At 40.1% G+C, this 27,940-nt stretch overlaps 1 protein-coding gene across 6 annotated transcripts in view; it reads left to right on the forward strand.

Moving 5' to 3' along the window:
* MEGF10 (multiple EGF like domains 10) overlaps nt 1-27,940 on the forward strand; it is a 231,923-nt gene that overhangs the window by 139,971 nt on the left and 64,012 nt on the right. For all 6 annotated transcript variants that reach the window (XM_017009987.2, XM_011543694.1, NM_032446.3 and 3 more), the window contains 2 exons: nt 640-732; nt 27,262-27,508. In XM_017009987.2, the coding sequence (XP_016865476.1) occupies nt 640-732; nt 27,262-27,508 (340 nt within the window). The remainder of the gene's footprint in view (nt 1-639; nt 733-27,261; nt 27,509-27,940) is intronic.

The raw sequence follows: 27,940 nt of genomic DNA on the forward strand, positions 1-27,940 counted from the left end.
AGTGATGCCCCTTTTGTCTCCAAGGGTTGAGTACACCTAAGATCTTTACTAATGAAAGAGGATTGAGATTTACTGTTTCCCAAAGACCTGGGTGGCATTTTTCAAATATTCTCCTCAACAGAAAAAGAGCAAGCAATTCTGCTGTGTCATAGTTGTGAACAACGTGTTCACAAAGAAGTGTGACTATTGTTTCTGGTGAATGTATTATGTAAAAAAAATCATAATACATAATCATAATACTCCCCATCTACTCTGTCACTCTGAGGCCCTGATATCTTGCTTTGTGTTTCGTTTCTCTATATAGGCTTCTTCTGAAACAAAAAGGAATATTTGATACTCACTGATAATTTTTTTAAAGAGTGAATTAGGCAATTTTCCTTGAAACTTCTTTTCTAATTTAGCATGAAGTAGAATAGAATAGTAGAAATGATGGGATTTATTTGGTGATACCAAAATAAGAAGGGGAATTGTTTGGTCCTACAGCAGACTGTAAGAGGGCTGAGGAACGGACTGAAGAAAATTATCAAGCATGCATGTTGTTTTTAAGTGATACTTGAGACTTGGATGTGCAACAGCTGTGTTGTTGGCTTTTTTTTCTTGTGCCAACTTTCTTTATTTGATTGATTTTCTCTCTGACAGCCCACTGTGCTGATAAATGTGTCCATGGTCGCTGTATTGCTCCAAACACCTGTCAGTGTGAGCCTGGCTGGGGAGGGACCAACTGCTCCAGTGGTAAGTTTCCACCTGCTGTTGTCTGTCTCGGGATGTTTTTGCTGTAAGGCCCTCCTTGTCTGCAGATGACCCTGAGCCATGCTTTCCCTCTTCATCCCTACACAGAGCATAGTGTAAATGCCACGACCAACTCAGTCATACAGTTTCTTTTAAATCTGTACATGTACATATACATTATTCGTTAATTAAGTATAAAGAAAAGTTCTTGGAAAGAAGGAAATTTCAGTGATCATACAACAGCTCATACTTCTGTGGATATGAATGCATTTTCTAGAGTAGGGTCCACAATTTAGATTCCTTACCTCAGTAAGGCAGTTGTGGTAACATAGCTATTGTATCCTAACTTCTGTTTTTACCTGTTGATTTCTCTAAGAAAATCTCTTGGTGATTAAAATTTACCACCTGTTGGTTTTTAACTCAGAAGTGAAACTGGCATTTTTGACACTAACATATCTTTTTGTCTCTGAATTCTGAGATGCAAATAACGAGTACTTGTTCAGATAACTTTAGGGAGACTTATCTGTAATAAAAGAAAATTCATGAAAATTTTGGTACTTGTTAAATCAATTCCTAACATAGTATATAATTTGTCTCCATTATGTTAGAATTATAATTCTAAAATGATGGTATTTTGGACTAAAAGCAGTCTACACGTAACATTTCATATGCATTATCACAAAGATTATATCATGGAATGTCATGTAATACAGTTGCTTTTCTAAATTTCACAGTTTAAACCAAAATCTTCTGGCTAACTTGTTGCTGTACACGTAATTGCATCCACTTCCTTTTCCTTTATACTTCTTTTTTCGCCTTGAGAAACGTGAGAAGGAATTAAAGTGCAACTAAATTGTAATGCGTGAAACATTACATTTTGAAAAAGGAAGCCATCGTTTTAAAAAGTTAGCAAGTTCGCATGAGAGCACACATTTCTCTTCGTTGCCACCAAGTAATTTTTTGAAATTAGTCTGAATGGACTTATTTCAATAAGCTGATTTTAAAAATTTTTACTTGCTTATTTTGGAATTGGGGAGATTATTCTTTATCTTGCTAGGACTACTTGTTTCGGACTTGTGATCTCTTGGCTCTCCTTGAAGCAGCTTCTCCAGGGGAAGCCCTTGTGCTGTCTGTGCACAGAACACTTGGTGTGAAAGAGCCTTTTAACTGTACCTTAAACAGGGACTGGGACTGTGTGTGTGTGTGTGTGTGTGTGTGTGTGTGTGTGTGTGTGTGTGTGTGTGTGTCTTTCTGCCCCTGACAGGCTTCTCAATTCCAGGGGAAAACTGTCTTGCAGGGTTTTGTTTTGCTTCTGTTGGAAATCAGGAGGAGAGTGGGCATTTTGTTCACACGCCATTGAGGCAAAATGTTTGGGATGTGGGATTTGGCTCATGTCCATTTTTCTGGCCGACTGACCTCAAATGTGATGTTGCTTTCATTAACTTTTCCAGTTTAAAAATCAGTTGTGCCTAGACATCTTGAAGAAAAATAACATTATTATAAACTAGTGGGATAGGGAAGAGTGGGCGTATTAGTCATTTAAAACTATGTGGTTTGCCACTAATTCCAGGGCAAGAATGCCACAGAATAACTTCAGTTGTATTCATACTTTGTCTCCTAAGAATTGCAGACTACCTCGAGCTAAGGGCTCAGACTGAAGTGATTGTGTAAGCAAAACAAAAGCCTACATGGGTTTCAGACTCTCTAGAACTGATTAGGACCTTCTAGAAAATAAACCGTTGCTTTATTTTGGAGTTTAATGAAGACTCTAGAATTCTGAGAACAGATGTTCTTTTAACACTGAAATATGATATTGAAGCAACTTTTAGTTTATTTTTTACAACTCACGTTTTGGCTTTATGATGAACAAAAGCACAAATAAACATGAACAGATGTCTGAAATGTTTAAAGGTGTTCTGAGAAAAACATCTTTGATACCTTTTTAAGCAGGTAAAAAAACGATATTCTGAGCTGAACCCAGAATATAGGTCTTGCTATCTGGGTTTTGTCTGTGGCAATCAACCTAATGTCAGGAAATGTATCATTTTGTTCACTCTTGACTAGATAATTCTGGAACCAAAATCTATTGTCTAGTAATATGCTACTTAGCAAAATTTAAATGGCCTAATTTCTAAGGATTCTATTTCCATCTCCCCCCTGCTTTGGTTATTGTTATGCATCAATTTGATGGTGGACATTAGATCCATAATATAATTGCTTTGATAATTAGACTGGCTCCTTGTATCACTTAAGATCCAATTAGGAGATAGAAACCACAGTAATTTTTAAATTTTTAAAATACAAATTGGTTTTATTTGGGAACACTTTTAGACTTATAGAAAAGTTGCAAAGATAGTACAGAGCTCCTGTGTGCTCAAACCCAGTCTCCCCCATTGTTAACTTCTTAAATTACTATTAGTTTGTCAAAACTGGGAAACTGACCATAGTATATTACTATTCAATCAACTGCAGATGTTATTTGGATTTTATCAATTTTTCCACTAACGTCCTCTTTCTCTTCCGGATTCCAGCTCAGGCCAACACACTACATTTCACTGTCATGTCTCCCCTGTCTTCTCTGGTCTGTGACAGTTTCTCAGTCTTTCCTTGTTTTCATGACCTTGAAATTGATAGTCTAGAGGAGAACTGGCCAGGTATCCTGTAGAATGTTCCCCAATCTGTGTTTGTCTGGTGCTTTTCTCATGATCAGACATGGGTTATGAGTTTTGAAGAGAATACCAGAATTGAAGTGCTCTTTCTCTTCACATGATATCATGATATCCATGTGACATCACTGGTGTCATCACTTGGTTAACCTTCATCACTTGGTTAAGGTAGTGTGCTAGGCTTCTCCACATAAAGTTACAATTTTCCCCTTTCTGTACTCTACTCTGCAGAAGCAAGTCACTAAGACTATCGAGCCTTCAGGGATGAAGGGCAGGACTCAAGCTCCATGTCTTTGAGGAAGGAATATCTGCCTATATTATTTGGAATTTTTCTGTAAGGAAGATTTGCTTCTTCTCCTGCATTTATTCAAACATTTATTTATATCAGTAAGAACTCATGTATATTTATTTGACATTTTGGGTTATAAAACAGTATTACATAATTTATTTTGTTGCCCAGGTCATTCCAGCTTTGGCCATTGTGTCTTTTTTTTGTTTTGTTTTTAGACTAGAGTCTCGCTCTGTCACCTAGGCTGGAGTGCAATGGCTGATCTTGGCTCACTGCAACCTCTGCCTCCTGGGTTCAAGCAATTCTCATGCTTCAGCCTCCCTAGTAGCTGGGCTTACAGGCATGTGCCACCACACCTGGCTAATTTTTGTATTTTTAGCAGAGACGGGGTTTCACCATATTGCCCAGGCTGGTCTTGAAGTCCTGACCTCAGTTGATCCACCCACCTCGGCCTCCCAAAATGCTGGGATTACAGGTGTGAGCCACTGCGCCCAACCCATTGTGTCCCTTTGACATGACTCATCTTTTTGATTTTGAGTGCTTTCTTACTTTCTGGTGCTAGAAGATATTCCAGGCTAATTTTTAATTTTTCCTACTGCAGCCCTAAAATGAACTATTTTTCAAAGAAGCCTTGGTACCTTTTATTGTAGAGTGGTATTTATAAACCAAGATCTAGGTGCTGGTGTGGTCATTGCTACTGCAACACAGAGTAACTGGAAAGGAGAAAGTTTAATATAAAGAATATTAACTAACTATAACAGGAGATTGGAGTAATGAGGGATGGGCTAGTAAGAAGTAGATAGATCTCTAGAGAATATAGGAATAGCAGATATAAGAAGCAACCACTACCTCTAAGGTGGACATAGAATGTCCAAAAAGGAAACCCCACTAAGGGTGCGATCCAGACCTGCTGGAGAGGGCACAGTCACAGCTCACTCAGATCCAGAGAGGTGCTGTGGTACTATCCTAGCAGAACTTGCTGGAAATATGCCCTCTAGGACTTTTATAGGACTTTGGAAAAAACTCTTCATGGAAAAGTCTCACCAGAAGCACTCTGCTACAAAAAAGGGGAAGTCATTGGCTGATGGGTGCAGCTAGCCACAGTGTACTGCAGGAGCGGTATGCTAGAGAAGCTGTCCGTGCTGCAAGAGCTTGGTTCTGGATAAGCAATTTGTGCTACAGAAACAAGGCATTGGAAAAGCCATAGGTGCTCCAGGAGCCAGGTACTGGAGCAGCTATTGGCACTGCGCTTACATTGCAGAAGCTTGGTGCTTTAGGAGCCAAGAGCACAAGTGCACTACGTGCTCTGAGTGCACTGGAAGTAGAATGGAAAAACTCCTTTTGCAATGTCTCTCTAGCGCCCCCTATTGAAAATACTTAACATTTGGCCAACCAGCAATAGAAAAATATTTGGAGGGCACATACCCATTTTTGTAGAGCAGGCAATGAAGGATAAATTTAGAGCTGAAAGGCAATAAACTGATAACTGTTGACGCATACTCCTTTGGTTATCCAATTCCTATATGCACCCTCCACACATGTTTGCATTCCTATACATAAAAAAAACCCCTGTATTTCCACCTAATATACAGCAATTCATCTTAGAAGTGAACATGCTCATACTCTCTTCCTAAAATGAGGAGATGCAAGTCCCAACATTCATTGGATTCATTGCTGGTTATATTAAATTTTTTTCAAATTAAGTCACAGTTCTACTGAATATTCTGTTTCCTAGATACTAAAGTTAACTTGAAACAACTAGCATGTAAAACAGAAAGGAAAAAAAGAAAATAGCAAATAAAATAAACATATGCATATAACAAACAAATAACAAACATTAAGAGCTATTAAAAATGTCTTTCATGTAATTGGTCACAAGGTGGTAACTGATATCTATGGCTTCCCTCTTCTACTTCCCATCCCATATTTCCCCCACTCTCAGCCCAAACTTCAGTTACTTGGGGTTATTTACCTGGTGGAGTGGCTCAAACCATCATTACTGAAAGATCTGCATTCCTACTTGTCCTGCCTTTTTTCTGGTTGTTGACATTTGTCATCAACTTCATTACTGTCATGGGAGTATTAAGAGGTATTCCACAGAATCCTCGGGTTCCAGACCTAGGTGTTCCCTCCCTGTGCAGCAGCAACCCAATTTTCCCTTGATAATCTGGATCAATCACTCCAACCAGAAGTTTAACTCCTTTTACTGACATTAGGAGTCTAAAATGGTCAGATGGTAATCAATTGATAACTGTCCTACATAGCTGTCTTTTTTTTTTCCTTTCTAAAATACATGGGTGATTAAGGGACTGACAAATACTTTCAGTCCAATTTCAAAAGGCTTCTCTTTGAGATTTGATATGTCTGTTTGCCTTGGCAGCTGAGGGAAGGGTTCCTGCCTGTGACAAACAGTCAGTGTTCCTGGCTTTCCTGGGTCTCAATGTATTCTCTGTATAAAAAACCAGGTATGTCAGAGAATTGTAAAAAGTTTGTTCTCCCAAAATGAAATCATGATTTATTTGACTAGGCTTAGACATATTCCTTCTTTTTAAATTTGATTAAATTATTGTTTTTAAAAAGCACACATGTGTTTTACCTTTATTGGCATCCTAATGCGTATCCTAGCTTTTATGAGTGAATGACATTAATCTATTTTATCCCATCTCCTTCTTCCCTCCCCTCTTCCCTGCTCTAGCTCTGTTCTTCCCCCCATCAATTTATCTGCCCATGCATCAATCCTCCATTGCTCTTCTCCCCTCACTGGATGATAAACAACTCCTGGAGGGCAAAGGCCATATGTTATTAATCTCTGTAAGCCTCCATTGTGCCTGGCATGTGGTTGGAGCACAGTAAAACTTCCATTTAATTAGATTGAAGGAACCATATGATTCTATATGATTCTGAGAAGGTCATTCATGTGTTCATTTTGTGAACTTTCATTGAATGATTACTGTGTGCAAGGGACTGCATTGAATGCTGGGGATAAAGGAACAAATGAGTAATGGTTGCTGCTCTGACAGAGCTCATAGCTTGGGAGAAAAATAAAGTGAAAGAAAGAGAACTGCCTCTGTAGAAGAAGTAGATTGAGGGAAACTGGATGGAGTCAGATAAGGTAGTGAGAGATTTTCTGAGTGGACAAGGGAGACAAGGGCTAAGAGTGTACAGCCCTTCACTTTCAGTTGGGGACAGAAAACAGATTGCAATAGACTACTCTTCCAGAAACTTCTCTGAGAAGCCAAGGAGAGGAAGCAAAGAAATAGAGAGTTAGTAAGAAGTAAGTGTACGGTCAAGAAAAAGTTTTTTGTTTTCATGCCTTTGTCTATGTTTTAAGGTGAAAAAAGACTCAGAAGCTGAGAAGATGGTGAAAGAAAAGAGGGAGAGGCTGGAGACTGGGTTGAGAGAGTGGATTGCGGAATAGAGGCAACAAGGCACCTGAGAAGACAGCTGGCAGATGGGATGGGATCCTGGGCACTGACAGAGAGATTAGTAAGGAGTACTGCCCATTCCCAATAGAATGAGGAAGAAAACCATGGCCAGAATAGGTGTAAACAGGTTTCTAGGTATCAGGGGTGCTGGTGGGCAATGGGATGGAGAATCTGAGGAAGTCTATATCAGATGACCTTCCTTCTCTTGATAAACTGTCAGGAGAGAGAGTCTGCTGATATAAAAGGGGGCAGAAGGGCGGTTACATTGATGATCATGATGATAGTAATAGTTCACCTTTATTGAACACTTGATATGCAATCATCATTATAAGAGCTTTACAGGAATTACTCTCTTAATGGCCATAACATACTATAAGATGGTTGCAGTTATTGTTCCTAGTTTACAGATGAGGAAACGGAGGTGCAGAACATTTAGGTGACTTGCCTGAATTTATGTATCTATTAAGTGGTGGAGCCAAACTTGCATCTCATTCAGAGCCAGTAACTTTAATCACCGTGGTATGGGGCTAACGGAAGTTGGAAAACAGGTTTACTGAAAGTAGCAAGAATCAGCAACAGTGAGGAGAATGAGAGCAGGAGACAGGGGCAGATGACACCGGACGATTATGAAAACAAACCCTCTGAGAGACGTTGAGGGCCCATTAATACTAGAGATGATGAATTCATAATGGCACCCATCTAGACTTTCCTCATTCATAATCTTGTGAATGTTGGGGCAGATTCTATTTATGATCCTTTTCAATTCTGTGATTTTATGTATGACTTACTTTAAGCAATATGTATATGCAACTCCTGAGATCTTTCTTTGTGATGGAAACCCTTTAAACCTTTTGTATGAATAGCAGTAACACATTTGTTTTCTTATTCCATATAATCCTATTTATAATTTCCCAAACATCTATAGAGAAATCTATTTCACCTACAGCTATAGGGCACAAATGGTAGAGTCCTAAATCAGCCAGCATATGGTTTTCAAATGCTTGTCCCTCGGGCTCTTTGCTTTTGACATTAGTACCACATAGCGGCAAAAATAGAAATTAGCTTTGGTCTAGAAACTCCAAACTTGGGTTTTATTGAGTCACTAATAGCATTCCGGTTAAATATACTTGGCAGTAGTGAAAATATCCCTAGGAGGCAAGACTAGCTCAAACATTTTCAGGTGCAGCGTAAGGAACACTGATAACCTTTTGTGTAAAGCAGGCATGATGTACAGCATGGAGAAAGTAATAAGATTTTGCCTGCAGGATATTCGAATGGGGGGAATCCATTTGAAGGATATTATGAGCCAGAAACATAAGGCACAAAAAGCTGACATATTTCCTAGCAAAGTCTGCTGTAAAGATCTATTGACTGGCAACAATGGTGGGATCGATGCTGTCTGCGGAGAGTAGACGCTGGGAGCCCAGTCCTCGCTGCAGTCATTAACAGGCCTGTTGCGCTGTCAGAATTACTTTCGAAATCAGGTTGATGGAGCAGCAAGAATAAGAGTAGATCAGTTGGGTTCACTGGTGTTAGGGTCAGGCTGATGATGATAACTGGGAAGGATTGGGTTCTGAACAGTTCATCAGAACGGTCCCAAAGGTAGTTTCACTGATGGACCATCCAAATAGTTTGATAAAGGTCACAGACAGAAACTGCTGATTTTGCCTTTCCTAAGGAGTCCAAAATTTGGACTGTTCTTTGCCACTTTCAGGAGGGGCAAAGAACTACTACCACCACCCTCTGTCACCCACCCTGGAATGGAATTGCTATCCCCCTAACTGCTCTCCTTTCTGTGATGTTTCTGTGCCTCCCTTTCCTCATGCTTTGAACAAGGATAAGAATATCTATTATACTCATAGGCTTGTGGGGATTAAATGAAGACTTAACAGGTATTCGCCAGTGCTGTGCATGGCAGTATATAATGACAAGTAAATGCTACTTATGATTCCTTGTGTGACAAACATAGCTTACACCACACTTCTTCACACATGGCCCAGTCTTTTGACTGAACAGAGGATGGGGCAGCCCTTTGTGACATCTCTTCCTGTCTCACAGGCCACACCCTTCTTTATTTACTTATTTATTTTTGAGACTGGGTCTTGCTCTGTCACACAGGTTGAAGTGCAGTGGTGTGACCATAGCTCACTGCAGCCTCGACCTCCTGGGATCATGCCATCTTCCCACCTCAGCCTCCCGAGTAGCTGGGACAACAGGCACACACCACCAAACCCAGCTAATTTTTTTATTTTTTGTAGAGGCAGGGTCTCCCCATGTCTCCCATGCAGGTCCCTACTCTGGGGCTCAAGAGATCCTCCTGCCTCAGCCTCCCAAAGTGTTGGGAATTACAGGCATGGGCCACCGTGCCCCGCCCCCTACACCCTGCTTTAAATGGAGGCTCTCTTTGTCCACAGTTGCTTGCCACAAGATTCCCCAGACAGAAGACCTAGTAAAGTTTTATTTTGTTTTTGTTTTTGGTTTTTTTTTTTTGGTGCATTATTTCCAACCTCTGATCACAGATGTCCTTACCAGATGAAATCATATCCAGTTTATATTGCTTCTGGCATAGTGAGAATACTAATGATGTTTAAATTACTTGTGCTAGTGAGTTCATGCAGTGGCTTTAAAGATAAGACTGGGCTGTCATGTTGTTTAACTCCACTTCATATCATTCATTGATTTTTCTTTTTTTTTTTTTTTTTTGATACTTGGTGCAATATTCATTTTTCAGCAAATCTTGTTGGTTCAACTCCAAAATATAACCCAATCCAACCTCTTCTCATTATCTCTACTGCTGCCACTCCAGTCCATGCCACGTTCTCTCTAAACTGGTGATCGCGGTAGTCTCTTTGCTGGTTTCCCTGCTTCTTCCTCAGATGCCACCCAAGTCAATTATCTATGACCAGAGTGAGACTAGCGTGATCTTGTAAAAATGTACTTTAGAGCATGCTGCTCTCCTTCCCAAAACTGGCTGGAATTTCCCCTTACAGTTAGAATACACTCCAAAGCCCTGAGCACAATCCATCTAGCCATGCATGATCTATTCCTTCCTGTTTCCCTGATGTCTTCTCATTCTTCTACCTTTCAGGATATCACACTGCTCAGTCTCTGCCCTTCATTTATGGAACACACTCGTCTTATTTTTGCCTTTGCACTTGATATTTCCTCTGCTCAGAATAATACTCATCTCCCTGGTTCTTTATATGGCCAGCTTCTTTTTTTTTTTTTTTTTTTTTTTGAGACGGAGTCTCACTGTGTTGCCCAGGCTGGAGTGCAGTGGCACAATCTCAGCCCACTGCAACCCGTGCCTCCCGGGTTCAAGTGATTCTTGTCTCTCAGCCTCCTGAGTAGCTGGGATTACAGGCGCCCACCACCATGCCTGGCTAATTTTTGTATTTTTAGTAGAGATGGGATTTCACCATGTTGGCCAGGCTGGTCTCAAACTCCTGACCTCAAGAGATCTGCCCACCTCAGCTTCTTTCCAAAGTGCTGAAATTACGAGTGTGAGGCACCACGCCTGGCCACACGGCTGGCTTCTGTAGGTCAGTTAGTCAGCCTAAGTGCCACCACCATACAGACACTATCTCTGACCTCCATATGCAGAGTATGACCCTATTACTCTGTATCATATCTCCTTTTTAACGTTTTTAAATAGGAACTTTCTAAAAATACTTGATTTGTTAACTTGTTTTTTTTTTTTCTTGTCTGTCTTCCCCTCCAGGATGTAAGCCCCATGAAAACATGGGTTTTTGTCTGTTTTATCCCTGCTGTCTAGCTATCACTGAATGTCTAGCACAGTCCTGGGCACTCAGTTATGCTTAATAAATATTTGTGGATGGAAGGAATGAAGGCGTAAATGTGCCAGGAGCAGTGACAGATATAAAAATGAGACATGAGAGATGAGTAAGACACTGCCTCTTCTTTTTAGGGGCTCTTAGTTTGATAGAGGAGCTGAAGTATGTAAACAAACAGATTGGCAAAGCATCCGAAGCAGCCAGGGAGGAAGGGACCAAAGGTTTTCGACAGAGAGGGCGTGATGCGAAGTCCTTCCTTCAGTGGCCTAAGGTTGCTCAGGCTTCTGTGGCTTCAGGACGCACCTTGGCTATGTGCAGTGTAGACACATTCTTTTTTTTCTTTCCTTTTCTTTTTTTTTTTTGAGATGGAGTCTCGCATTGTCACCCGGGCTGGAGTGCAGTGGCGCAATCTTGGCTCACTGCAACCCCCGCCTCCTGGGTTCAAACGATTCTCCTGCCTCAGCCTCTCAAGTAGCTGGGATTACAGGTGCCTGTCACCACGTCCAGCTAACTTTTTATATTTTTAGTAGAGGCATGGTTTCACCATGTTGGCCAGTCTGGTCTCGAACTCCTGACCTCATGATTCGCCCGCCTCGGCCTCCCAAAGTGCTGGGATTACAGGTGTGAGCCACCGCGCCCAGCTGACACATTCATTCTTAATGACTTGGCAGAAGATCCCCTGGCCATAGACTGGTAGCTGCAATGAAATTATAGAAGTCAGGCAAGATGTACTGGGTGTGATTTCTGTGAACTTTGAGGAAAATGTGTGTCTCGGAGTTCTTCACCCTCAAGAGAGAAAAAATTATAATGTAAACATCAAGGTTATTACTGAGAGGGAGGAGTGACTTCTGAAATGGTGGCCCCATGACTAAGGAAGGTGTTTGAAAATCAGCCCTTGTTTGAGTGGAGAATATTTAACAATTTTGCTATCTAAACTTTCTCATATTACTTCTCAAGGTGGAAATTCTATGTGAGGATGTAGAACTTAGTTGTTAAATTTGTACCCAAATGGTGTACAAATGCATACAAACTGCAAATGAACAGTAAGAAATTAGGCAAAGAAATGCAGACTACAAATTATTTCTAATCACATAGTGATGAGTCGAATTTCATTAATCTTCTTAGACTCCTCTTTAATTAAATAAATAGCAGGAAATAACAGCCCGGTTTAAAAGAATGTTTGTACAGGGAGCAGAAATATTAGATCATAAATCTTTATAATTTCTTTCATATAAACATATACATGAAACATATACAAACCATTTTCTGACTGTACCAATGTGTTTGCTGGCTGCCGTGCTCAGAGTGAAGTGATGATATGTACGAGATGGTGCTGTAGACCTGCTTGTTTCCCTCTCCTACTGTCTTGGGCTACTGCCCGATTCTAATAGAGCCATGTGTGTCTTGTCTCAGGGGATTATACTGTCCACTGTCCATTGGCTGAAACTAGGTGTTGTAGTTTATTTTATTGTGTTTTGTTGTTGTTTCTTTTTGTTTTTGTTTTTGTTTTTCTCGAGACAAGAGTCTCGCTCTGTCACCCAGGCTGGAGTGCAGTGGCGTGATCTCAACTGACTGCAACCTCCACCTCCTTGGTTCAAGTGATTCTCCTGCCTCAGCCTCCTGAGTAGCTGGGACTACAGGAGCCCACCACCATGCTCAGCTAATTTTTGTATTTTTAGTAGAGGTGGGGTTTCACCATGTGGGCCAGGCTGGTCTCAAACTCCTGACCTCAAATGATCCACCCACCTTGGCCTCCCAAAGTGTTGGGATTACAGGCGTGAGCCACCGCACCCAGCCTGTTCTGGTTTATTTTTATAATTCGGCGTCTGTCATGGCTATATCTGATATCTTATTTTTTGTGAGTGTGTTAAAGAACTTTTTAAAACACTTGAAAATTTCCCCAGGTCAGAATTTCCCCCCAAAAGCTAATGACTCTTTTTCCTTCTTTGATCAAAGTATTTTTAAAATTCATACACAACCTAGTTAATTTTAATGAGTTTGAACATTTGTGCCTATAGCCTGGAGAAAATTAAGTGTTCTTGAGATGGATAAAACTCATGAAGGGCAGAAGTAAAAAGACAATAATATTTGTCCTAGTTATATAGACTATTCCAGTAGAACAAATAGTAGAGTTTATAAGAACATAGCTCTTGGTCCATAAATAAATGGTGTCATCTTAAAATTCTGTGAAAACCAAATGGTTTTACTACTCACTATTTTTGCATAAAACTAGTGGAGGTAGGTAGCTTGTAAAGAAAGTCTAAATTTTAATGGAATTGATTTGAACTTGATGTTAGTATATAATTGGAAATTTTTGTTCATACATTAAAGAAAAGCAGCCATTTTAAGAAAAAAGAAACTTATGTGGTAAAATCAGTATTATATAAGCAGATTTATCCATGCCTTAAATTAGCTTTTAGAATATTTAGACCACATCAGAGTTTAAAAGATTTTTAAGACAGAAGATACTATATGCAAAGTTAAAGGAGAAGTGAGAGATTAGGAAAATATTTTTGCCACATAAGTAAACAGACAAATGATTATTTATAAAATATGTAAAGAACCCCCACAAATTAATAAGTAAAAGAACCTCTGAACTTTAAAATAGGCAAAGGGTAGGATAAGGTAATTCAGAGGCGAGAAACCTGATTGACCAATGAACATGACAATATGCTAATCTTTGTAATAACAGGAAAGTACATAATAAAGAAACAAGATGTCATTTCTCACCATCAGATTGGCAATGGTTAAGAAGTCTGGCAATGGTTAAAAAGTTAAGTGTTGCCAAGGATGTGAAAGGAAGCTTCCACATACCACTTCCATGAAGGCAAATTGGCAGAGTAACTTTAGAGATCAATTTGACTATGTCTAGAGTAGAATTTTAATGTGTGGACCATGTAACCCAGCAATTTTTATTTCTACTTCTTTATAATTTGTTTATATATTTTGTGGAAACATGTATTAGGAGATAGATTATTTGCATCTTTTTAACAGTGAAAATTTGGAAACAACTAAAAATATCTGTGTATATGGGAAAAGGTAAATTTTTTGGAGGCTGTTAATGTAGTGAAATGTTACATAGCAGTTTATAGTATAATAATGAACTCCGTTACTATAAACTTGTATATAGCATTCCATTATATTAGCAGATTTATCATTATTAATCAGCTTATAGTCCTAGCTACCAAGCAGGCTGAGGTGGGGGTATTACTTGAGCTGAGGAGTTCAAGGCTGCAGTGAGCTAGGCTCATGCCACTGCACTCCAGCCTCGGAGACAGAGTGAGATAAATAAATAAATAAATAAAAATAAAAAGTAAATCTCAATATCATAATATTGGGTGAAAACAAAAGATTCACAGCAACATGAACATTTTATATAAAGCTAATACATATATAAAATAATTCTATATCTTATTTCTAAATACACCCCCCAACACACCCACAAACCAGAAGAACATATATTAAAACTATCACAGCATTTACCTTTGGGAAAAGGGTAGGGAAAGAGCTGGGAACCAGGCACAAAGGAGTCAGATAGGACTTTATCTGCCATGTTTTATTTCTTGAATTCAGTGAGGAAACAAATGTTATACAATGTTCATAAACAGTTAAGTCTCTGCTGTGGGTACATGAGCCTTTGTTATAGCATTATTCGTAGTCTCTCATAGTCCCATCGTTTAAATTTTTTTCTCAAGAAAACCATATTAAATCTTTCAGACCAAACAATTAGCATTAAGGATTCTAGTTTTCTTACTCTGAGATTTTAGGGAAGTCATTGAAAGCCTTTATCCTTTATCCTCATGTGTCCAGAAGGAAGATAAGCATTTTCACAACAGTGGTCCTGAATATTCATCCTTTAATATTCATCTCAATTCCTACTTCCTCTGGGAAACCTTCTCTCCCCCTCCTTTCTCTCCACTGCCCAAAGGTACATGGACATAGGTCCTCTATGTTCCCAGCAATGTGTGCAATCCTGTCTCGTAACACCTAGCACATTCTTTTGTGATAAATCTCACTGTGGGCCAGTCTCTTCCAATAGATAAGGAAATCTTAGCTATGGTACATGTCTTGGTAAGGAGCAAGTAGTAAGTGCTCAATAAATAGAACTTCGTAGCCAGAGAAGATGCTTAACAAATCTTTAATGAAAGAATAAATGATCAACAGAATAAAAATATGACAAGACTTTTTATAGCAAGACATCTTATAAGGGCTCCTGAGGTTGTTATTCTTCTTTTCACATCAGTGAATGAATGTAATCCTCCCAAATTATGTAACTTTAGCCTACAAGTTATATCCTTGAGATTTTCCTGCACCGTGAATAGGGTCATCAATATGTTGTCATAGAGACACATCAACATTTGCACTTCAGCACAATAGAGAATAAATATTTTACACCCCTTTTTCTGGTTCATAATTTGAGATAAGCTTACACTGAAGTTATAAAATGACAGTTCATTTAACAAACATTTTAAAAGAAGAATAAAGGTTCTCTCTCAGTCACTGAATAAAATTAATATAAACAGCACTGGGTGGTTGTCCACGGTGATCGTTGGCACTCTGTCAGCTCTCCAGAGGGGTTTTTGACATGTGAAGGACGTGGGGTTTTAGTGCTTTCAGAGTATCTGGAAAATACATTTTTATTGTTCTTCTTCATGGATGGAAAAGCTTTATGAAGTTGTTTTATTTTTAAAGTGCTTGATGTTTTGAATGAGGATCTTTTCTTCTACCATTAACAAAGGGAATGACACACCACAGCCTTGTTAGCCTGAAGCGCAAGGAATGAAATCCCAGGGAGATAAAAGACCCTCAGGGAACTGAGGCTTAAGAAGAAAGGGTGTATGTTTCAGGAAGAACCATGTTTTTCTATCCTTTGAGACAGTGGAAAATTATTTTGGTCTCCTCTAAAAGGCACTCTGTAGAGATATCTTCTTGAAAGTGACTTATTTGTACTTTGCCCATGTTTTAGACTATAAAGTATTAAATTTTCTTCTCTATTAATTTATCTCATAGTCATGGATTTTCCTATGTTTAAAGTCCATGGAGAACATTATAGCCAAACCTCATATAAATATATATTGTCAAGTCAGTATACTGATTTTGATGCATCCTAATAAATACTTGATATTTATAATTTTTTTTTTTTGAAACAGAGTCTCACTCTGTTGCCTAGGCTGGAATGCAGTGGTGTGATCTTGGCTCAAGTGATTCTCCTGCCTCAGCCTCCTGAGTGCTGGGATTACAGGTACGCACCACCATGCCTGGCTAATTTTTGTATTTTTAGTAGAGATGGGGTTTCGCCATGTTGGCGAGGCTGGTCTCATACTCCTGACCTCAGGTGATCTGCCCGACTTGGCCTGCCAAAGTGCTGGAATTACAGGCATGAGCCACTGTGCCGGGCCGACATTTATAATATTGAAGGCATATGTAGTGTTAGTTATTGCAAACAGTAACACCAGTGGGGTTAGTTATGTATTATAAGCGGACATCTCTTTCCCTATGATAAGCTTGAGTTCTAAGATTTGATATGTTATCCCACTGTAAGTATCTGGTAGAGATGTATCTTAAAGTTCTTGACCCCTATGTAATTCAACAATTAGATCCCAAGGCTATTAAACTAAGACTTTAAAACAACAACAATAACAACAACGTGGCTGTGTATGGTGGCTCATGACTATAATCCCTGCACTTTGGGAGGCCCAGGCAGGAGCACTGCTTGAGGCCAGGAGTTCAAGACCAGCCTGGGCATCGTAGTGAGACCTTGTCTCTACAAAATATTTTTAAAAAATCATCTGGGCATGGTAGCATGTTCTTGTAGTTCTAGCTACTCTAGAGGCTGAGGTGGGAGGATCGATCAAGCCCAGGAGTTAGAGGTTACAGTGAGCTATGTTTGTGCCACTGCACTCCAGTCTAGGTAGCACAGTGAGAACCTGTCTCTAAAAACAAACAAACAAAACAAACAATAAAAAACACCTGACCTGCTCAGTTCACCTAGGGTTTGTTTACACCTAGTACAGGTACACAGAACTGGGCATTTCTGTTGCTGTCATTTAGAATCAGTTCCTTTAATAAGCATCTTACAGTTCAAAATGCATTTCAAGGTTGTATCTGTTGTCTTAGTTGGTGAACCATGGGCATAGATAAACTGAAGAAAAATCAAGGCAGTGAGATTATTTGGTGCCTCTCAATTTGGCAATGCTGTCCAGATTTTATTTATGACATCTTTTTATACTGAAGTGGGGATTGCTAAGAAAGTCATGTTTTTGTTTATTTCTCCTTTCATATTTCCGGACCCCATATACAAGCCTACACTTCTGGACATACAGTCACCAGCAAGTAGGAAATGTCTAAACTCCAGTTTTTAATTGGCAATGAAAAAGACTAAATGTAAAGTAGTTCTGGGTTTCCTTGCAGGCCTGAACTCACTCCAGTTGTCTTTGTAAAAATGAATAAAAGGTCCAAGCCTTGTTTTTTTCTTGATAGAGTTACTGGGCAATTTCGTTTTTGAAATTTTACATTGTGAGAACTAAGTTGTCCTTTCTGGCATGAATGATTCATGCAAGACAAACAAATAATACAAACCAAGGTCAGACACGTTAGTGCAGCTTCATACACAGTTGGAGGATGTTTTTCTAGGGCATTCTTTTTGCTGGGCTGGGACATCCCAATGTGCAAATCAGGGAATTTCTGCTGTTACTAGATCTGTGCAGTGTCACATATAACAAAAAGTACTTTTTGTGTAATTAGTGTGTTCCACCATCTTCATTTTACAACAAATAAAGGTTGGGGACTACCCCAAGGTTCTGTAGCGATGAATTGGCCATGGGCTAGCTAGGGCCCAGGTCTAGGCAATGTAAAGAGGCTACAGTCCCTCCTTGAGCCAGCTAGTGATTGAGGAATTTTGTAACAAGGTGAACATGATGGTAAACATCACTTCTTTCTTAAAGGGCAAAATGAGTTCATCTATTTTTATCAATTGCTTGGTTGGTTGCTGATAGAGTCCTTTGGATGAGACAATGTATTAATGTACCCTTATTCCTTCCTCCAGAGCACCTCTCCATTTAACATTTCTGTTTATCTCTAATCGTGCCCCCTTTCTTGTCCTTTGTCTACCTGAAAACAAGAGATTTACTAGATTCTCTCCATGTGTTCAAAGACTTTTTCTAATGCCTTGTTTTTTTGTCAATACCTGTGTGATTATGGACATGATAGGATATTCCTTATCAAAACTATTCTGATGAACCTGCTGCTACATCTTGAAGCCTGGGAACTGTCATTTTAAGCAAACAACTATTATTTCTCAGATAAACAGTTGTGAGACATTTGTTCTAGAATGTTCCCCTTTGAAAACCAGGCAGAAGCAGTTAATCTGCACTGATTCCGGTTTTGTAATTGATGACCATCACTTCTTTGGGGTGTTCAGCGTGGCATAAGGGATGATTGCAGCTTTGGAGACATTGCATTGATGGATTTGGGTTGAACCCTTGCTTTTGCCACTCAAACGCCAAGTGGCTTTGAGCAAATTGCCATTTGAGTTCATTTTGCAAATGGAAATATTGGAATAATTATATCTAACTCATTGAGTTATTGTGAGGTTTAAATAAAATAGCTGCATAATGTCCCTCATAATGTAATAATGCCTGGCACATGTTAGAAACTCAATGTATCTTAGAAAGCCTCCCGCTCCACTCTCTGTTTCGTGTCGTTTGCATGGAAAATTAGGCTGAGGGTTTGAGGCAGGTTAGGAGAGAAGAATGTACCTAGAATTTTGATGATGATTTTCTGGGTTTCTCTGCTTGTGAAAGTTATAGCGCTCTACACTCACAATCACTCTCATTTATTCACCAGATATTTTCTGAATGCCAGCCATGTGCCAGGTACTACATGGGCCTAATTTTCAGATCCATATACTCTTAAAGCTAATGACATTGATACTATGTTCATAGCAAGCTTTCTAGCTTTTTTGTTTGTATAGTATTATCATTATTATCATTTTGAGGCAGGATCTCACTCTGTCACCCAGGCTGGAGAGCAGTGGCACCATCTCAGTTCACTGCAGCCTCGACCTCCTGGACTCAAGCAATCCTTCCTCCTCAGCCTCCTGAGTAGCTGGGACTACAGGTGCATGCCACCACATTCAGCTCACTTTTGCATCTTTTATAGAGATGGGATTTCGCCATGTTACCCAGGCTGGTCTCTAACTCTTGAGCTCAAGCAATCCACCCACCTCAGCCTCCCAAAGTGCTGGAATTACAAGCGTAAGCCACCATGCCCAGCCTACATAGAATTATTATCAACTTCTAGAAGCTCTTCAAATCTGGCTAGCTCCTTAATTTTCTTTTTTCTTTTTATTTATTTATTTATTTATTTATTTATTTATTTATTTATTTTTTGAGGCAGAGTCTGGCTCTGTCGCCCAGGCTGGAGTGCAGTGGCGCGATCTCAGCTCACTGCAAACTCCGCCTCCTGGGTTCACACCATTCTCCTGCCTCAGCCTCCCAAGTAGCTGGGACTACAGGCACCCGCCACCATGCCCGGCTAATTTTTTGTATTTTTAGTAGAGACAGAGTTTCACCGTGTTAGCCAGGATGGTCTCGATCTCCTGACCTCGTGATCCACCCGCCTCAGCCTCCCAAAGTGCTGGGATTGCAGGCATGAGCCACTGCCCCTGGCCAATTTTATTTTTTCTTTGAGAAATGTCTTATGTTCTCACTACTGAGGTAATTTCTTTCTCAGTGTCCCTAAATACTGAGTAATTGGCTGACCCCCAAAGCCTTACTCAGTGAATCATTAATCATTTGTTGCTCTGCCTTAGAAAGAGTGCTGGTTTCATATTAGATGAGAAATATAATGGTGGAATATTATACTTAACCGAAACATATCATTTCAGCACTTCAGGAGCAGAATGGCCTCATGTAAAGCCCTTGACCTTTTGTATGCAGAAAGCCTTGGGTTTGAGTACTGATGCCACCACTGACTAGTTTTGGGACATTTTACCTAAATGTTCTAATCCTAAATATCCTCTATGTGCTTGTCATAATTGTCATGAGGACTAGAAATAGCTGTAATCCAGTCAGAATGGTTACTATTAAAAAGTCAAAAAATAACAGATGCTGGCGAGGTTGTTGGGAAAAGGGAATACCCTGTTGGTTGGAGTGTAAATTAGTTCAATTATTGTGAAAACAGTGTGGTGATTCCTCAAAGAGCTGAAAGCAGAACTACCATTCAACCCAAGAATCCCATTATTGGGTATATATCCAGAGGAATATAAATTGTTCCAACATAAAGATACATGCAGGTCAATGTTCATTGCAGCCCTGTTCACAATAGCAAAGACATGGAATCAACCTAAATGGCCATCAATGGCAGATTGGATAAAGAAAAGGTGCTACAAATACACCATGGAATACTGTGCAGCCATATAAGAGAATGAGATCATGTTCTTTGCAGGGACATGGATGGAGCTGGAGGCCATTATCCTTAGCATACTAATGCAGGAACAGAAAACAAAATACTGCATGTTCTCATTTATAAGTGGGAGCTAAATACCGAGAACACATGGACACATAAAGAGGAACAACAGACACTGTGGCCTATTGGCAAGTGGAGGGTGGGAGGAGGGAGAGGATCAGAAAAAAATAACTATTAGGTACTAGGCTTAGTACTTGGGTGATGAAATAATCTGTATGACAAACCCCCATGACATGAGTTTACCTTCATAACAAACCCGCACATATACTTCCTTTTTAAAAAGGAAGAGATATGTAAAGCATAAAGCACTGAACCTGGCATGATGTAAATGCCCAGCAGATAGAACCATTTAAAAAACCTTACTGCTTGATTTTCTTTTACTGCCAAAAGGATACATATTTACTGTAAAACATTTAGAAAACCTGGTTAAACCAAATGAATAAAAGAATAATCATGCATAATCTCAAGACCCAGAGATACCCACTGATGCCATTTCACTGTAGCTCTGTCTCTCTTTCTCATTTTAACCCTTTTCCCTCTTTTCCCCAGATAGTAGTTTCAACCATATGCAGTTGCTGCATCCTTACCTAAATTAATGGCAGTTTCATCAGGTTCATTCTGATATATTGCTAAAATTGGATTACATGGGGCATCTTTTTTTTTTTTGAGACAGAATCCCACTCTGTCATCCAGGTTGGAGTTCAGTAGAGCAATCACGACTCACTGCAGCCTCAACCTCCTGGGCTCAAGTGATCCTGCCACCTTAGCCTCCTGAGTAGCTGAGACTACCAGTGCAAGCCAGCACGCTGGGCTAATTTTTGTATATTTTTGTAGAGATAGGGGCTTGCTGTGTTTTCCAGGCTGGTCTCTAACTCCTGACCTCAAATGATACTCTTGTCTCAGCTTCACAGAGTGCTGGGATCACAGGCATAAGCCACTGTGCCTGGCCTTTTTAAAATCTACTTTTTATAATTATGATATCATAAATATGGTTCCAGTTCATAAAATCATCTTCTATAAAAATCATTTAATTAATCGATAGTATTCCATTGTATGACTGTACCACAATTTTTTCACCAGCTGCCTATTCCTGGAAAACTAGGTTGTTTTCAATTTATTGTTATAATCAGTGCTAGGATAAATGTCCTTATAGCTTTGGAGAGAGTGAAATATAGTGGTTTAGAACACGGACTCTGGAGGCAGGAGGTCTGTGCTTCACCCCTTGCTACCTGCGTAACTTTGAGCAAGTCACCTGGATCTCAATTTCTTCATCTACATAATAGGGACAACAATAGCACCTGTTTCATAGGGTCACTATGAGAGTTAATCTATCACGATGCTTGGAACAGTGTCTGTGGGCATGCTAAGGTATTATTAATGAGTTAGCTATTTATCTTTTATGAACGGTTATTGTCTTTATGTGTATATATACATACATACACACATGCGCGCGCGCGCGCGCACACACACACACACACACACACACACACACACACACACACACACACACACATACATGCTTATTTCTTTAGGAAAAACTCCCAAGAGAAGAATTTATGGTAAAGGGGCTTTATTAGACTTTGCCAGACTAATTTCTAATAAGGATGTGGTAATTTACTGTCCTGTAGTACTATATAAGAGTGCTGGTTTCTAGCTGGGTGCAGCAGCTCATTCCTGTAATACCAGCACTTTGGGATGCCAAGGTGCGCAGATAGCTTGAGCTCAGGAGTTCAAGACCAGCCTGGGCAACATGATGAAACCTCATCTCTACCAAAAATACAAAAAATTAGCCAGTCATGGCAGCATGCATCTATAGTCCCGGCTACTCAGGTGGGAGGATCACTTGAGCCCAGGGAAGGTTAAGGCTGCAGAGAGTCAAGATCGCACCACTGCACTCCAGCCTGGGTGACAGAGTGAGACCCTGTCTAAAATAAAAAAAAAAAAAAAGAGAGTGCTGGTTTCCACACAAAGGGAGAGGCTACCATTATCACTGTAAGTATCAGTCTCAACATTATTATTATTATTATTATGACTCAGGGTGCACAGATTTTCACCTCTGAAATCAGAATGCATCTAATCATCATCGTCAAACAGATGACTGTCATTCATGATTGTACAAAACCTTCTATTGACTCTGCTGAAATGAAGAAAGAGTGTCATTGCATCCTAACATCTATGAAATTCCATTTCATTTGGAAATTACAGAACAAGGCAAGCAAATATAAAGATTATGAACTAGTTGCTGGGCACAGTGGCTCACACCTGTAATCCTAGAACTTTGGGAGGCCAAGGCTGGAGGATCTGTTGAGGCCTGGAGTTCAAGATCAGCCTGGGCAACATCGTGAGACCCCATCTCTACAAAAAGTAAAATAAAGAAAAATTATCATCTGAGTTCAAAGTGAATGCCATGGAAAATAGATAATGCCATTTTCAGAGAGCATCTTAGATCGGTTCTCAAAAGTGTGCCTAAGGACAGAGTTTCCTGAGCTGCATTTCGAAGGCTGGGGAGTACTGAGGGAGCAAGAGGACAGGTCTACTATCTCTCCATAGTTATTTCTACTTCTTTTTGTTGTGTACAGAGCTGTGAAAATGATAATGGCCATAGTACAATAGCAGAGAGAATCAAGTTCGTGTTGATAAACTTTTGGCTGTTGCATGTATCATTCCCTGCAGCCCCTGCACCCCTCACACCCAGACTTCCTACTTAACAGTCCTCTACCCTGTACCTAAATGTGGCACACCCTGCCTTTTGGTCTCAGTTTAGGCATCAGTTTAGCTGGGAAGCCTTTTCTGATGCACCAACACTGGTTGGTTAAGTACCATCTCCTTATGTTTTCCGTTGTACCTAAGCCATCCCCTGACCTTATTACTTATTATTCAGTATTGTATTGCTTCAGACTTGGTGTCTCTGTCATTAAATGGAAAGCCGCTAGAAGCCTGTGCTCTTTATTTTCCTTTGAATTCCAGTCTAGCACCATGTCTGATACATGACAGGTACTTAAAAAATATCACTTGAATGAACTTCAGTACCCAGCCCGTGAATGTAACCTGGGGTTACTGGGGTATTGGAAGTTATAACCGTAAGGGTTCCAATGTGAGTCTATTGTCTTGAGAAGATCCAGTTCTCTACTAGTTTTCACTTACGGACTGGAGCTTGGATTATATGTAATCCAAGTAGTACCCAGCAGTTTAAACTTCCAACTTATTATGAGAGCTTATTAGAGCAAGCTGTCTGTGCCTGTCTGAGACTCTCATTAAGCCATTCCATGAAATATCTGCATGAATCTGGGCATCTTGCATCTGAGAGCCCATTTCCGGCGGTTAGTGCAGTTAGAACTGAAACCAGAGGCTGAAAATGAGTCGGCACTTGCTCACTAGCATTTAGGTCACTTTCAATTTAATCTGAAATAAAATTCTGTTCCTTTACTTCTTTTTTAAAAATTAGGATACTCAAGCTATTTTCATGTTAACTATATATTTTCTAAGTTGTTAGTGGGAATAGCCAACCAGTCACTTTCTCTTGTGGAGTGAAAGAAACTCTTGCCCTGTGAGATTAGAGTGAGGTGTTAAGGAAAAGATGTCAGATAGTTTGAATTCAGACCTTCTCCGAGCTGTCTCTCCAAATGTGGTACTTGAATTCAGGATAACTGGTCAAATTCTGCACTAAACATAAGGAATGAATTCTGCCTCCAGTCTAGACAAAGTCAGTGTACCCTTGTAGTTATCAGGGATGAGAGCTGGCTTATATGCTGTAGACTGTGTAACTCACTGGGATACATTTAAAAATGGATGCATTGAAGTGGTTAAATATGACAAATGAAGAAAGGAAAGGAAGTCACGGTAATGTCTGAATTCAACCCAGGTTTCTGTGTCCTACTTGTTCTTATACCTATTTGTCTGTAAACATGTGGATTTTTTTCCTGAATAGACCATGTTGATGTATGGTATTCACATTGTGAGGTCCATGTATTAGTGGCATTTTAGGAAAATATAGCCCGAAGTGGGGAAGCTATCACTTGAAAACATGTCATCATGCTTGGACATAGCCAGGAAATTAACCATGTCAGCATGATAATATTTCTTGAAAAGCCTGAAACCCATTTTTCTATGCTGATAGTTATCAGTTTCTGCTATAAACTCACTTGTATTATGATAAGATATCTTCAAAGTTTTTTTTTTTCTTTTTTTTTTGTTCTAATCCTAAGAAAACAGAGCTGGTGTCTGCCTGACTGCCCCACTGGGAGATAAGTTGTTGAATGAGGTGTAGAACAGGGTTGTGAAGAAGAGGAAAAATCAGTTCTGTCCCCTCAGTTCCTCTACTTCTCCCTACCTCTCTCTTGTTATATAAAACATGTTCTGTAAAGTGTATGTGCTTGGGGCCACCCTGACCACAGTGTCACATGGGGGAAAATTCTGTAATAACCCACCGTGATTTTTAAAAGTGTTTTGACATGATCTTGTTGTTTTTATCAAAGTAATTTTTATTAGGTAAAATTTCTTTTTTGTTGGTCAACTAATTCTCTACTGAACATAAGGAGTTGACAGATATTTAATTCAATATCTGAGGTTCCTAGAAGTTAAGAGGGACATGGAAACTTTGGAGAGCATTCAGTAAAAGGATAAATGAAATTGAATAAACTTTTTGAAAGTATGGAAAAGTATTGGAGTTGTAGTATCTAGAGAAGAGCAGGCCAAGCTGCATTCACATTTGGGAATAAGGTCATTTTTAATACAGAGGAGAGTGGTGAACTGGTTTACTATATTGTGAAAAAGTCAGGAGAAAAAAAGGATTCAATGATAAGATAATGGATTTAGCTCATACGGAATGATTTTTCTTACTCTTGAGGATTGATGAATCAAGTAACAAGTTACAAAGGCCTGTGTAATTTGTTTTGGAGTCCCTTCAAAACAGGATGGAGTCTTCTCTACCTGGGGTAGCTGAGATCAAAAGGGACATATCATGTAATTTTCTTAAAGATTTTTTTCTTTTGAGATCCTAGATTAAAAGAATTACAGTGGAAAAAAGACTCATTGTCCATATCCATAGGCAATAAAAGAAACAACTCATATGAATAACAATTAGGCTTCAGTCTCATTTTGAAACTACCACCTAATCTTATTTTGTGAAAGAAGATTGTGAGTTCTTAGGTAATTGCTTTCTTGATCTGCTTTAGGTTCAATAATTCTCTCTCATTGTTTTTAATTGTATTAAAGTGTGTTTATTAAAATACTAATGAGACCAAAGTCATACTGATTAAAAACAGAATTATTCATTTAAACCTTTTGATATTATGAAATCCAAGGTAGAGTCTAATATTGGAAGACGAATTCAGTACTTCTGATGAGTTGTTTGCTGTGTACCTAGAGTTTTCTTCTTTTGAACAATTTATTCCAGATCTGTTGAAGTTACAAAATTTTTATGAAATGAAACTTTTTTTTAATTGTAAAAGCAGTTTATTTTGAGCTCTAGGCAGGGTGCTTCTTCTTCAAGTGATTTTTATAGCATCTAATAAATATACCGCTGGCTCAGCAATACATACTAAGAGTAGATTTTGTTTATCATCACCCTCTTTAATTTTTTAGAATGTTTGGAATTGAAGTTTTTTTCCTTCCCTGCTCCCCTTTTCTACTCACTGACTTTTGTATTGCAGCCGCTCTTTCTTTTCTTTGGAACTGCACTTTAAATATATCTCTCAAATGCCATTTTCTTCCTTTGTCTTTTACCTGGTTTCGTTTGCCTATTATCTTTTCATTTAATTTGGATTCTTCGGCTTCAGGCTTGTCTTATTTTTTAAATATGTCAATATATTTAAGCATATTTGTCCATTTTTTCTGCCCTTTTTTTTGGTCAGTAATTCAGATTACCTTCCAAACACAGATGTTTTGACTGATATCTTTTTTTTTTTTTTTTTTTTTTTTTTGAGACGGAGTCTTGCTCTGTCCCCCAGGCTGGAGTGCAGTGGCGCAGTCTTAGCTCACTGCCAGCTCCGCCTCCCGGGTTCACGCCATTCTCCTGCCTCAGCCTCCCGAGTAGCTGGGACTACAGGCGCCCGCCACCATGCCCTGCTAATTTTTTGTATTTTTAGTAGAGATGGGGTTTCACCGTGTTAGCCAGGATGGTCTTGATTTCCTGACCTCGTGATCCTCCCGTCTCGGCCTCCCAAAGTGCTGGGATTACAGGCGTGAGCCACCGTTGACTGATATCTTAAAAGCAGATCAGTAGTTTACTTCTTAGAGGACTCAGGACTCTGGCCCAGACCTGTAGCAGGGTCAGTCCACTCCCCAGTACTTCTGACTCTGTGTCCCCTCTCCCTTTTCATGGTTACTGCCTGTGATGGTCATCTGGACTGTTGCCATTTTTCCTGCTCCATCTCTCTGCCTCTCATCGTCAGCTCCTTCCACACACGTAGGAGGAGGCAAATCTGTGCTCTCCCTTCTTAAAATCTTTCACTACCAATCCCTTGTTCACAAGATGCAATCCAAACCCCTTAATATGCTAAAAAGTCCCTGCATGAGCTGATCATTCCCGTCTGCCTAGCCAGGCTGCTCTCCTTGCAGAACCCCTGAGCTCTTCCCCTAGCCCACTTCTCTAGCCACATCAAACTCCACACTCTGGATGCAGAACACAGTCTGAGTAAAGGCATGGAGACTTTTTATTTATTTATTGACATGATTGTCAATGAAGTGATAATTAAGCAATGGAGTGACAGGAGGTGGCCCAGTTGGTGCTGAGCACCAGTTTGTGAAGCATTGCCATGGGTTGGGGCCAGGGCCCTGATGTCCAGCTAATGAATGGCCATGAGAGGTCACCAAGCCATTCTCCCCGAGAGGCGAAGAAATCTGGTTCTCCCTTACCCACTGATATCCACTGTTTCTCTCCTCAATCTCAGCCTGCGATGGTGATCACTGGGGTCCCCACTGCACCAGCCGGTGCCAGTGCAAAAATGGGGCTCTGTGCAACCCCATCACCGGGGCTTGCCACTGTGCTGCGGGCTTCCGGGGCTGGCGCTGCGAGGACCGCTGTGAGCAGGGCACCTATGGTAACGACTGTCATCAGAGATGCCAGTGCCAGAATGGAGCCACCTGCGACCACGTCACGGGGGAATGCCGCTGCCCACCAGGATACACCGGAGCCTTGTAAGTCACATGCTGCCCAGCAGCAGAGCAGAGCCCACCCACCCTCTCCATTCATGCTGCTGCTGCCATCATATTTCTTGTGCCTCAGTTTGCATTGCTGCCTGAAGAGTTACTGATGGGTCTAGGCTGCAGGCACAGTTATAGAGGTCAGCAGTGATGGCCACTAGGTGCTGCTGCTGTTTGGCCCTTGCACATCAGATCCCAGCCTGAATCTAAGGGTCAGCTTCCATGCTTTCCTTCTAGCAGGCAAAGAGAGAGAGGGTCAGTCAGGATGTTGTGTTGAATGGCACTATTTGGGGGTTGTTGGGGCATATTTGGGATTCTGTTTGGATCTCCCGAGAATATGTTCATTTATACTGCTGGTTGTTAATGGTCCATGTCTTTTTGCTCTTTGTGGCAATTAATTAGCTGGGGAAAGCTGGGTGGGTTCAG

The sequence above is a fragment of the Homo sapiens genome, chromosome 5, assembly GCF_000001405.40.
Source record: "Homo sapiens chromosome 5, GRCh38.p14 Primary Assembly".
NCBI lineage: Eukaryota > Metazoa > Chordata > Mammalia > Primates > Hominidae > Homo > Homo sapiens.